Raw genomic sequence first — 12,422 nt, 5'->3', positions numbered from 1 at the left:
GGACCTTGTGATCGTGTAAGTTAGTACTTAATAAACTCCCCTATTAGTTCTATCCCTCTAACAGAACCCTGACTAATACACATACCAAGTAAAATATTACACAACAAAATCCAAAATATGCAGGAAAAGTTGTACAGAAAAGGGAGAGGTGACAGGAAGAGTGGAGGTGTCTTGAGGCCAGAGCTCTCAATGAGGCTGAAAAGCAGGTTTATGCAGAAGAACTTTTAAAAAGTAAATGAACTGGAAGAAACATGAAGAAAAATTCATTTTGTCCAGTAATGGCTTTAGTAAGTTTAATAGCCTGAGGAGTTATTACAAGTAAGAGTGGGCTACTCAACTGGATCAAAGGGAAGGGGCTGTTAAGAGTTAACCTAGGTTAATTTTGTCTTGAGAATTTGGGACTTGTGACTGCGTCAAGTGGGGGTGGGTGCTTGAGCTAATGTGGGTCTACAGCAGGTGATTTGAAAAATTAAAATGCAAAAAGAGCCCAGAGAGGAAGGAGGAAGGGATAAACAGGTGGAGGAAGACAGACAGACAGGTGGAGGTGAGGAGTGGCCTGATAGTTTCCTAGTTCCTTGTCCTAGGTGGGTTCACTGGTGAATCCTACCAAACATTTAAGAAAGGAATAACATCCATTCTCTGCAGTACCTTCATGAAAATAGAAGCAGAGGAAACACTTCCTAACCCATTCTATGAGACTGGCATTACCCTGATACCAAAATGAGATAAAGATACTACAAGAAAGGAAAACCACAGAACAATAATTGCCATAAACACAGATGTAAAATCAATAAAATGTTAGCAAATCAAATCTAACAATGTATCAAAAGAATTATATGCCATGACCAAGTGGGACTTATTCCAGGTAGGGAAGACTGGTTCAACATTCAAAAATCAATTAATGTAATCTGTCATATCAATAGGCTAAAGAAAAAAAAAAATCACATGATCTTATCAATAGTTGAAGAAAATCAATTTGACAAAATTGTAACTGATTTATGATTAAAAACCCTCAGCAAACTAGAAACAGAAGGGAACTTTCTCAACCTAATAAATAATATATACCAAAAAGCCTTCTGCTAACATCATACTTAATGGTGAGAAGCTAGATATTCCCCCATTAAGATCTTAATAAGGCAAGGATGTCCCCTCTCACCATTCCTATTCAAGATTATACTGGAAGTCCTAGCTAATACAATAAGACAAGAAAAGGAAATAAAAGATATACAGATTAGGAAGGAAGAAATAAAACTCTCTGTGTACAGATGACATGATTATACATGTAGAAGATCCCAAAGAATCAATGAAAAACAAAGCCCTCTAGGAACTAACAAGTGATTATAGCAAGGTTGTAAGACACAAAGTTAATATATATATAAAATTAATTGCTTTCCTATATACTAGCAAGGAACAACTGGAATTTGAAATTCCAAACAATCATGTTTACATTAGCATCAAAAATTGAAATATAAATCTAACAAAACATATACAGGATATATATATGTAGAAAACAAAGTCTGATTAAAAAAAATCAGGCATATTTCAGTAAATGGGAGGATATTCCATGTTCACGGATTAGAAGACTCAATATAGCTGTCAGTTTTTCCCAAATGGGTTTGTAGATTCAGGGCAATCCCAATCAAAATCCTAGAGAGTGATTTTGTAGACATTGACAAACTGATTCTGAGGTTTATATGGAAAGGGAAAGGATCTAGAATAGCCAACATAATAGTGAAGAAGAACAAGTTAGAAGAGTGACACTACTCAGCTTCAAAACTTACTATAAAGTTACAGAAATCAAGACTGCATGGTATTGGGGAAAGAACAGACACATAGATCAATGCAGTGGAATAGAAAGGCCAGAAATAGATTCACACAAATACAGTCAACTCATCTTTGACAAAGGAGCAAAGGTAATTTAATGAAGAAATGATAACCTTTTCAACAAATGGTACTTTAACAATTGGATGTCCACATGCAAGAAAGATAAATCTAGATACAGATCTAACTTATCTCTTTCAAAATGGATCACAGACTTAACCATAAAACATAAAACTTCTAGAAAATAGCATGGGAGGAAATCTAGGTGACCTTGAATGTCACAATGAATTTTTAGATACACCATCAAAAGTAGGATCCATGACAAAAAATTAGTCAGTTGGACTTTATTAAAATTGAAAACATTTGCTCTGAGAAGGGCATAATTAAGAGAATGAAGAGTCAAACCACAGACTAAGAGAAAATATTTTCAAAATACATATCTGCTAAACAATTTGCATCCAAAATATATAAAGAACTCTTAAACTCAGCCATAAGAAAATAACCAACTACCAGCCTAGGCAACAAAATGAAACCCCGTCTCAACTAAAAATAAGCCAGGCACAGTGGCATGAACCTGTAGTCCCAGCTACTTAAGAGAGTGAGGTGGGAGGATCCCCTTAGCCCAGGAATTAGAGGCTGCAGTGAGCCATGACTGTGTCATGGCACTCCAGCCTGGGCGACAGAGTGAGACCTTGTCTCTTAAAAAAAAAAAGGGCCGGGCGTGGTGGCTCATACCTGTAATCCCAGCACTTTGGAGGCTGAGGAGGGCGAATCACCTGAGGTCAGGAGTTCGAGACTAGCCTGGCTAACATCGTGAAGCCCTGTTTCTACTAAAAATACAAAAAATTAGCTGGGTGTGGTGGCACCTGTAATCCCAGCTACTTGGGAGGCTGAGGCAGAAGAATCGTTTGAACCTGGGGGGCAGAGGTTGCAGTGAGCTGAGATCTCGCCATTGCACTCCAGCTTGGGCAACAAGAGCAAAACTCTGTCTCAAAACATAAAAAAATAAATAAATAAAAATAAACCAACCTAATTAAAAAATGGGCACAAGATCTGAGCAGACACATCATAATACAAAATACACAGATGGCAAATAAGCATATGAAAAGATGCTCATCATTATTTGTCATCAGAAAATTTCAAATTAAAGCAACAGCAATATGCCACTACAAATCTATTAGAATAGCTAAACCTCAAAAAAAACAAAAAAAAACAAAAAAACCGTGATATACACCAAATTCTGGCAAGGATGTATAGCAACAGGAACAGCCATTCATCAATGGTGGGAATGCAAAATGGCACAGCTACTTTGGAAGACAGTTTTTTACAACACTTAACATAATCCTACCATATGATCCAGCAATTGCATTTAGATATTTACCCAACTAATTTGAAAACATATTCACACAAAAACCTGTGCATTAATGTTTATAGCAGCTTTGTTCATAATTGTCCCAAACTGGAAGCAACCAAGATGTCCTTCAATAGGTGAATGAATAAACCAACTGTGGTACATCCACACAATGGGAGTTTTATTTGCCAATAAAAAAAAAAAATGAGCTATCAAGCCAGGAAAATGCACGAAAGAATCTTAAATGCATATTGCTAAGTTAAAAAAAAAAAAGGTTAAAAAAAAAAGAAAGAAGCCAGTTTGATAAAACTACATAGTATATACTTCCCATTATATGACCCTTGGAAGAGGCACAACTATAAATATAGAACAATAATCAGTGGCTGCCAGCAGTTCCAAGTTTGGCGGGAGGGACGAAAAGAGGAAGTGCAGGGGCATTTTTAGGGCAGAAAATTATTCTAAGTGATACTGTCATGGTAAATGTATGACATTATGCACTTGTCAAAATCTATAGCATTTTATAGCTGAAATGCTGAATCTTAATGTATGCAAATTTTTTTAAATGCAGAAGTTAGGAGATCCCAGGAAGGAGTGAAGACTGTGATAAGAGAATGGAATTCTATTACAAATGTATGAAATAATCTCGCTGAAGGGCATAGAGGGGGAAAGACGCTGACCTAAGTCATTTTGGAAACGGGTGGAGTCTGCAAGACTAGAGGCAAAAGGAACTGCACATAGCGCTGTGCTCCAGGGTTAACAACTCCAACGCCGCTATATACACTGCAGTCGAATAGTGAAGTAAATGGATGGCTGAGGGTGGGAGCCAGGTCTCTCACTGTTGGGTTGGGAATTTACAGATGAGCAAGGGGAGGAGGCTAGAATGACCCATGGGGAGATGGATTAGAGACATCAGTGTGTTCACTTGAATATAGGTATAGACAGAAATATAGAAATGTGGATACACACATGTATTTCTCTGCTCTGTCAGCTGAGAAGGCCTAAAAAGACAGCCCAACAATGAGCATACCTTCCCCAGAGCTTGATTTCTAACACCATTCTCCAATAAACCATGGCTGAGGCAGAAAATACAGATGCTCCTCAACTTACAATGGGGTTATGTCCTGATAAACCCATAATAAGTCAAAAACACGTGGCTGACTGAGAGCTGCGGCTTACTGCCAGTGCCCAGCATGGCAGCATACGTACAGTTTCCACTGAATTTGTATCGCTTTCACACTATCATAAAGTCAAAAGACTGCAAGTTGAACCACTGTAAGTTGGGACCATCTGTGTGTGAGATAATCCTGGAGAATCTTGTAGTGCCAGAAAGAAAGTGCTCAAAACACACACACACACACACACACACACACACACACACACACAATGTTGATGGGGGTATGGCAAAGTAACACAGGAGCCAACTGAAAGAGATCCGAATGGCCAAAGCTGGGACAATTTGAGCAACAAAAGAAATAAGGTAGTACTGGATTATAACCCTAGGTAAAAAATAAATATTCATGCATTCACACTGATATAGACACATAGACAGACAGGCAGGCAGGCAGACACAGAAAGACAGACAGACAGATGATGGATGGATGGATGGATGGATGGTTGGATAGATGGATGGACAGATGGATAGATGGATGGACAGATGGATAGATAGATGATAGAAGGTGGATGGATGGATTGATAGATGGATGAATAGACAGAGATTAGCTGGACAGATAGACACAGACAGATGATGGACGGATGGATGGATGGATGGACGGACAGACGACAGACAAACAGATGACAGATGACTGATGGACATACAGATGATGAATGGATGGATGGATGGACGAATGGATGGATAGACAGATGACGGATGGATGGATGCACAGAAGGATGGAAAGACAGAGATGGTGATACAGATATATGACTGAATACGTTAATAAATGAGGGAGAAGGGACAAACCTTCGGTGTGGAAGAATTCCAAATAACTTACATAGATACTCTGCCCTCAAGGACGGGGAGCCTAACACTACGCCCCTTGGATATGGACCACACACGGTGATTTCCTCCCAAAGAGCACAGTATGAAAAGCAGGAGCAGATGCAGTAATTTGACAGTGGAGAAACCTGACAAATACTGCCTCAGTTGGAGGATCGAGGTCAGCATTGTTAGTCATAAGCCATGCTGGCAGTAGGTGCGTGCCCTTGACATGATGTGATGAAAATGGCACTTCACCTCAGTGATCTTCCTCCTAAAAATTCATAACCCAAGTCTCATGAGAAAAACATCAGACAAATTTCAATAATAGGGCATTCCACAAAATCCCTCGAGTACCCCTCAAAGCTATCAAGGTCATCAAAAATAAGGAAAGTCTGAGAACTGCCACGCCAAGAGGAGCCTAAAGAGAATTGACAACTAAATGTAATGGGATCCTAGAACAGAAAAAGGACATTAGGTAAAACCTAAGGAAATCTAAATAAACTGTGGACTTCAGTTAACAATCACAAATCAATATTGGCTCACGAATTGTAACACACGTACCACACCAACGTAAGATGCTAATAGGACAAATCTAGGGTATATGGGAACTCTCCATAATACAGTCTCAATTTTTCTGTAAATCAAAAACTTCTGTAAAACATAAAGTCTATTGAAAAAAAAAATAATTGGCCAGGTGCAGTGCTCATGCCTGTGATCCCAGCAATTTGAGAGGCCAAGGCGGGTGGATCACTTGAGGTCAGGAGTTCAAGACCAGACTAGCCAACATGGTGAAACCCTGTCTCTATTAAAAATACAAAAGTAGCCGGGCGTGGTGGCGTGCGCTTGTAATCCCAGCTACTCAGGAGGCTGAGGTAGGAGAATTGCTTGAACCCGGGAGATGGAGGTTGCAGCGAGCTGAGATCGCGCCACTGCACTCCAATCTGGGTGACAGAGTAAGACTCTGTCTCAAAAAATAAAAAAATTTAAAAAAATTTTACAGGAAGAATGAAGTTTTGAAACACTGCTATGTGGATTCTGCAAGCCATATATATCACTTATCACTCAGCTTCCACTGGCCTGTGACCCGCTGTACTAGGATGTTGCCAATATGTGGAGGGAATTTCAGTGTTTCTGCACTAAAATTATCAAAGCTTCTTGGATTGTCATGGTCTAATTAATTTCCAGACTGATAGGACCAAGGTTACATTTAAGCTGCTAGGCTGAAAGCCCAGAAACAGCTGACTGTACCACCTTCTCCCAGCCACCCCCTCCAAAGCACAGAGGCCCACCCTCCCCTGTAGGCAACTGTGGTCATCTCCTTGTCCCTCTAGCTCAACCCTGAAACTAAAACATGCAGGCTCATTTACCTGAATGTGAGTGGGATTTGTCTTTCCGCTGCTCAAAGCCAAGGTCATTGAGCTTTCTGCACCCTTCTATTATGTTGGTGCAAAAGTAATTGCGGTCTTTGCCACTGAAAGTCATACTTACTATCCTAGCCACTAAGTAGCCTGCCTCTTATCAAATGCAGAAGCTCCACTCTCTAGACTCTGACATAATATCTACATGACAAAACTCAGAAGGATATTTAAATAAATCATCCATTTTCAAAAATATTTCACTACAATTAAGAAATGATTCGCATGTGGCATAGAATATGACAATGACAATATCACTGCACTGCCAACGACCACAAAGTATTCCAGGTATGAATAGGGTGATACAGATCATAAGACACTCTCCAGAGGCTATATCATGTTGTGAAAATCTTACAAATTTAATGCGGGATCTTTAAAGGTCATGTAAATGTAAATATTCAACTGATGTCTGGGATCCCTCTAGAATGTTGTGGTTTTTTTTTTTTTTTTTTTTGAGACAGCGTCTCACTCTGTTGCCCTGGCTAGAGTGCAGTGGCGCGATCTCGGCTCACTGCAACCTCCGCCTCACGGGTTCAAGCGATTCTCCTGCCTCAGCCTCCTGAATAGCTGGGACTACAGGCACGCGCCACCACGCCTGGTTAATTTTTGTATTTATAGTAGAGATGGGGATTCACCATATTGGCCAGGCTGGTCTCGAACTTCTGACCTCATGATCCGCCCACCTCGGCCTCCCAAAGTGCTGGGATTACAGGCGTAAGCCACCGCGCCCGATGGTTGTGGGTTTTTTTTAAAAGAATCACTTTACATTTTGGATTATGTGGTATCATGAATCAGATGGTATGTTTTGTTATTTTATTTTATTTAGACAAGGTCTGGCTCTGTTCCCCAGGCTGGGGTGCGGTGGCACAATCTCTGCTCACTGCAACCACTGTCTCCCAGGCTCAAGCGATCCTCTTGCCTCAGCCTCGCAAGTAGTTGGGACTACATGGGCACACGCCACCACATCTGGCTAATTTTTGTAGAGATGGGGTTTCATTACATTGCCCAGGCTAGTCTCAAACTCCTGGCCTCAAGTGACCCTCCCACCTCCACCTCCCAAAGTGCTGGGATTACAGATGTGAGCCACCACACCAGCCAGAGGGTATTTTAAATTTGTGAAGTGAGCTGGGTGCAGTGGCTTACACCTAAAATTCCAGCACTTTGTGAGGCCGAGGCAGGTGGATCATTTGAGGTCATGAGTTCAAGACCAGCCTGCCAAACATGGTAAAACCCCATCTCTACTAAAAATACAAAAAATAGCTGGGCATGGTGTCAGGCACCTGTAGTCCCAGTTACTTAGGAGGCTGAGGCAGGAGAATCACTTGAACCTGGGAGGCAGAGGTTGCAGTGAGCCAAGATTGTGCCATTGCACTCCAGCCTGGGAGACAGAACAAGACTCCATCTCCAAAAAAAAAAAAAAAAAAAAGGCAAACAAAATGACTCCATCTCCAAAAAAAAAAAAGGCAAACAAAATTTGTGAAGTAGATAAACAAATGTCACAACTGGGGAATTTTCAATGTTCTACTTTGTAACAATATTCTTATTTCTGCTAGCCAATTTTACTATAATCAAAAAAGTACAGTACAGTAGATAGGGATGACTTTCACCAAGCATGGATGGCATCAGTTTCCTGCTGCAGAAAAAGGAAGGTATGGTGAATGAGAAAAGGTCACTGGATTTAACAATTAGCAGGTCACTGATGACATACAAAATAGCAAACTCAGCCTGGTAAATATTTACTGAATAAATGGAGTGAATGAATGATAAGGAAGAAGGTTGGTAGGTACCAAAACTAGCAAAGAAGATGGAACAAAGTTTCTGATTCCAGAAGGGAAGACAATGAGAAAGGAAAGCGGATGAAGGAAAGGGGGCTATTGATCCACTAAGCACACGGAGAATCTGATATGTACCAGTTACTCTAGAAAGTACTGGGAGTAACGGTCCTGGTGTTCTAGGAACTCACAGCTTCCTGGAGGAGGCATGCTTGGTATATGTACATACAGATCTGACAGAAGTAGTCTCAAAGGAAAAGAAGTTTGTTTTACAATTTTAAAGAGTGGAACTACACAAGGTGAATTGGGGTGGGTAGGGAAAGGAGGGCGTTTCTGGCCAAAGAAATACCTTGAGCAAATAAATGCACAGAAGAAAGAAGGAATATGGCAGTACCGTTTAAAAGCCCAGGGAGGGAGCATGAAATGAAGTGAAAAAGGAACCGATTGTGAAGGCCATTACAAATCCAATAAAATGATTAGGTGTTTCTCTTGCATGTTATGTGATATGTCACATGTTCCAAAATGTAGAGAAACAATAAGCTTGGAATTAGCGGCATAAACAAGGAAGATGTTGAGTAGTTGATATCTGCCCTCGGTTATGTATGGATTGTATGATCATTTTAGTGTATTCTTCTAGTCTTTAGGGTTTGTTTTGCTCCTTTTCTGCTTCTTTCCCTTGTCTTTTAGTTACATCTCTGCTTCATTTTATTTATTTATTTATTTATTTATTTATTTATTTATTTATTTATGTTTGAGACAGAGTCTCATTTTGTCGCCCAGTGGCACGATCTTGGCTCACTGCAACCTCTGCCTCCCAGGTTCAAGCAATTCTTCTGCCTCCGCCTCCCAAGTAGTTGTGATTACAGGTGCCAGCCACCACACCCAGCTAAGTTTTGTATTTTTAGTAAAGATGGGGTTTCACCATGTTGGCCAGGCTGGTCTCGAACTCCTGACCTAAGGTGATCCACCTGCCTTGGCGTCCCAAAGTGCTGAGATTACAGGTGTGAGCCACCGTGCCTGGCCACATCTCTGCTTTTCAACACTAGTACCCTTAGAGTAAATTGCTAGCCATTTATTAAATGGGATCTGATGAGATCTGATTAGGATTAGGAAAAGATGTTTTCATGTGTCAGGAAATTCTTTCCAGTAACACTGCAAGAGCAGCCATACAACCTTAACTGGGCGACACCTTTCAATTAAATAAAGAAAATGAGTTCACCTGGAAATAATCTACCAATATCAAATAGTCCCATCTGGATTGGCATTACTGTTCACTAGGAGATGTGAACCCCAACTCTACAGTGGTATAATGTCTGGTTCTGGACAAGATGGAGTAGACGTGCCTCTCCCTATTCTGCCTGCTAAGTACAGCTAAAAATAGAGGATATTACATATAAGGCAAGCAAAAAGATTCTCAAAGGTAGAGATAAGAAGGCACACTGGCTAGGGGCCTTGGGATCTGAGGAACAACATGGTGGTGGCTTTCTTGAGTTTTATTTTTGGCTCAGATATCCTGGACTGGGCTGCAAGCCAGAAACACCAATGGCTGCGGACAATTATTGGATTAAAAAAAAAAGAGTCCCAAGTAAAGGCTGCTCTCTTAGGACAGCAGGAACAGGGCAGCCTAGCAAGACAGAAAATTTTTAGACAATAACCAACCTAGGCCATGAGAAAAACGGGCCTCATTCCCATCCGGTCAGCAAATACTGAGTGGGGAACCTAGATTCCCACCTTCACCTGGTTATAATGAGGCACTCTTCTTGACTCCTACTACCAGGGCGGTATCAGAGAAGGTGAGCGGGGAATCCTGCCCTCCTCCTCCCCTCCAGCTGTAATGTCATACAGACTACACAGGGAGCCTGGACTTTCACTCCACCTAGCAGTAACAAGGCACCTCTCCCCCATACACTTGAGTGGTGTCAGAAGAAGCTTAGTGGAGAACCAGGACTTCTGCCACCACCCAGCAGCAATAAGGCCCCCCCCCCGCCTCCATCCTATAATGTCAGTGGAGTCTAAGGGGGGAACAGTCACAAGATGGCTCTCCCTTCCTCATCAGAATGGTATCACAGGAGGCTGACGGGAGCCAGAACTTCTGCCCCTACTTGGCAGTAACAAGGCACCCTTCCTACAATAGGTCAATAGAAGCTGAGGGGGGAAATGGACTTTTACCTCTCCCTGGAAGTAAGGAGGTAACACCCTCTCATGCCATCCCCACAGTGCAGTGTCAAAGGAGGCTGGCTAAGACAGAAGATTTATTAATAAATAAGATCCAGAGTCTCCTAACATAACACCCAAAATGTCTGGGAAACAACTGAAAATCACTTATCATACCAAGAAACAGGAAAATCTCAACTTGAATGAGAAAAGACAATCAAAAGATGCCAACGTGGTATGTGCGTTGGTATTATCTGATTAAGATTTTAAAGTAGCCATCACAAATGTGCTTCAATGGGCAATTAAAAACGGACATGATAAATAGAAAGTTGGCTGGGCGTGGTGGCTCATGCCTGTAATCCCAGGGAGGTGGAGGTGGGTGGATCACTGGAAGCCAGGAGTTCAAGACCAGCCTGGCCAACATGGTGAAACCCCATCTCTAATAAAAATGAGAAAATTAGCTGGGCATGGTGGTACACGCCTGTAATCCCAGCTACTCAGGAGGCTGAGGCAGGAGAATCACTTGAACTCGGAGGTGGAGGTTGCAGTGAGCCGAGATTGTGCCATTGGATTCCAGCCTGGATGACAGAGTGAGATTCTCTCTCTCAAAAAAAAAAAGAAAAGAAGAAGAAGAAAGAAGGAAGAAGGAAGAAGAAAGAAGAAGAAGAAGAAGAGGAAGAGGAAGAGGAAGAAGAAGAAGGAAAATAAAAAAAGAGAAGAAGGAAGGGAGGGAGGAAGGAAGGAAGGGAGGGAGGAAGGAGAAATAGTTAAATAGAAATAGGAAAATAATCAAATGGAAATTTTAGAACTGAAAAATACAATAACTAAAATAATAAATGGTTCAACAGAATGGAAGAGTAAAAAGACAGAATGAATCAATCTAAAGTTAGAACAAGAGTCTAAAAAACAGAGAGACTAAAAGAGAAACAAACAAAGCCTCAGATACCTGTGGGACCATAACAAAAAAAAATCTAACATTTGTGTCATCAGAGATCTAAAAAGAAAAGAGAAATAAGATGAGGCTGAAAAAAGTATCTGGAGAACAACTAGAAATTCCCCCAATTTGTAAAGGGCATATACCTGCAGATTCAGGAAGCTGAGCATGCCTCCAAAACAACAGACCCAAAGAAATCCAGTCCAAGGCAACCTGTAATCAAACTTCTGAAAACTCAAGACCTGAATATTTTTAAAAATCTTGAAAGCAGGGAGAGAAACATCTTACCTAAAGGAGAAAAACAATCAAATGACAAAGAATTTTTCATCAGATACCAGAGAAGCCAGAAGGAAAGAAAAGAGCTGTCAATCCAGAATACTTTACCTGCCAAAAACATCCTTCAGGAATGGAGAGGAAACCAAGACAGTGGCAGATGAAGGAAAACTAAGAGGACTGGTTGCTATCACACTGGCTCTAAGAGAATTGCTAAAGGAAGTTCTTCAAACAGATGGGGAAGATTCCAAAGGAAACCTGGACCATCTGGAAGAAAGAACGAACAACAGAAGGAGTAAGAATATGAGTAAATACAATAAACTCTTCTTCTCTTGAGTTTTCTAAGTTACCTTTGATAGTTGAAGCAAAAATTGTAATATGATGCCATGTGATTTTCACTGTGGGTGCAGGAAACACCTAAGATATTCTAAGTAAGGGAGGGAAAAGAGATTTAAGAGAGGTAAAGTTTCCACATTTCACTCAAACTGCTAACATGCCGACACCAGTAGACTGTGATATATTATATATGCATAATGTAATATGTAAATCAACCACTAAAAAGTCTATACGAAGAGACGCACTCAACAACAGTACAGAGAAATAAAAATGGAATTCTAAAATAGATTGGCATAGAAGACTAAAAAAGTATGACAACTGTATGTTGCCTATAAGAAACACTTCAAATATAATGATACAGGCAGGTTGAAAGGCAAAGGACAGAAAAACA

General features: G+C 40.8%; 1 protein-coding gene across 5 annotated transcripts in view; it reads right to left on the bottom strand.

Annotated features, from left to right (window-relative positions):
* The window catches only part of TYW1 (tRNA-yW synthesizing protein 1 homolog), a 242,682-nt gene that overhangs the window by 23,809 nt on the left and 206,451 nt on the right, over window positions 1-12,422 (bottom strand). Inside the window, exon 16 of one of the 5 annotated variants that reach the window (XM_047420568.1) lies at window positions 8,012-11,962. The exons of the other annotated variants lie outside the window; for them this stretch is intronic. Within the exon in view, the coding sequence (XP_047276524.1) occupies window positions 11,909-11,962 (54 nt within the window). The 3' untranslated portion in view covers window positions 8,012-11,908. Of the gene's footprint in view, window positions 1-8,011; window positions 11,963-12,422 lie in introns of those variants that run through there. 5 annotated transcript variants of the gene reach the window in all.

The sequence above is a fragment of the Homo sapiens genome, chromosome 7 (genome assembly GCF_000001405.40).
Source record: "Homo sapiens chromosome 7, GRCh38.p14 Primary Assembly".
NCBI lineage: Eukaryota > Metazoa > Chordata > Mammalia > Primates > Hominidae > Homo > Homo sapiens.
The sequence above is the reverse complement of the archived record's forward strand: the minus strand, read 5'-3'. Positions and strand labels throughout refer to the sequence as shown.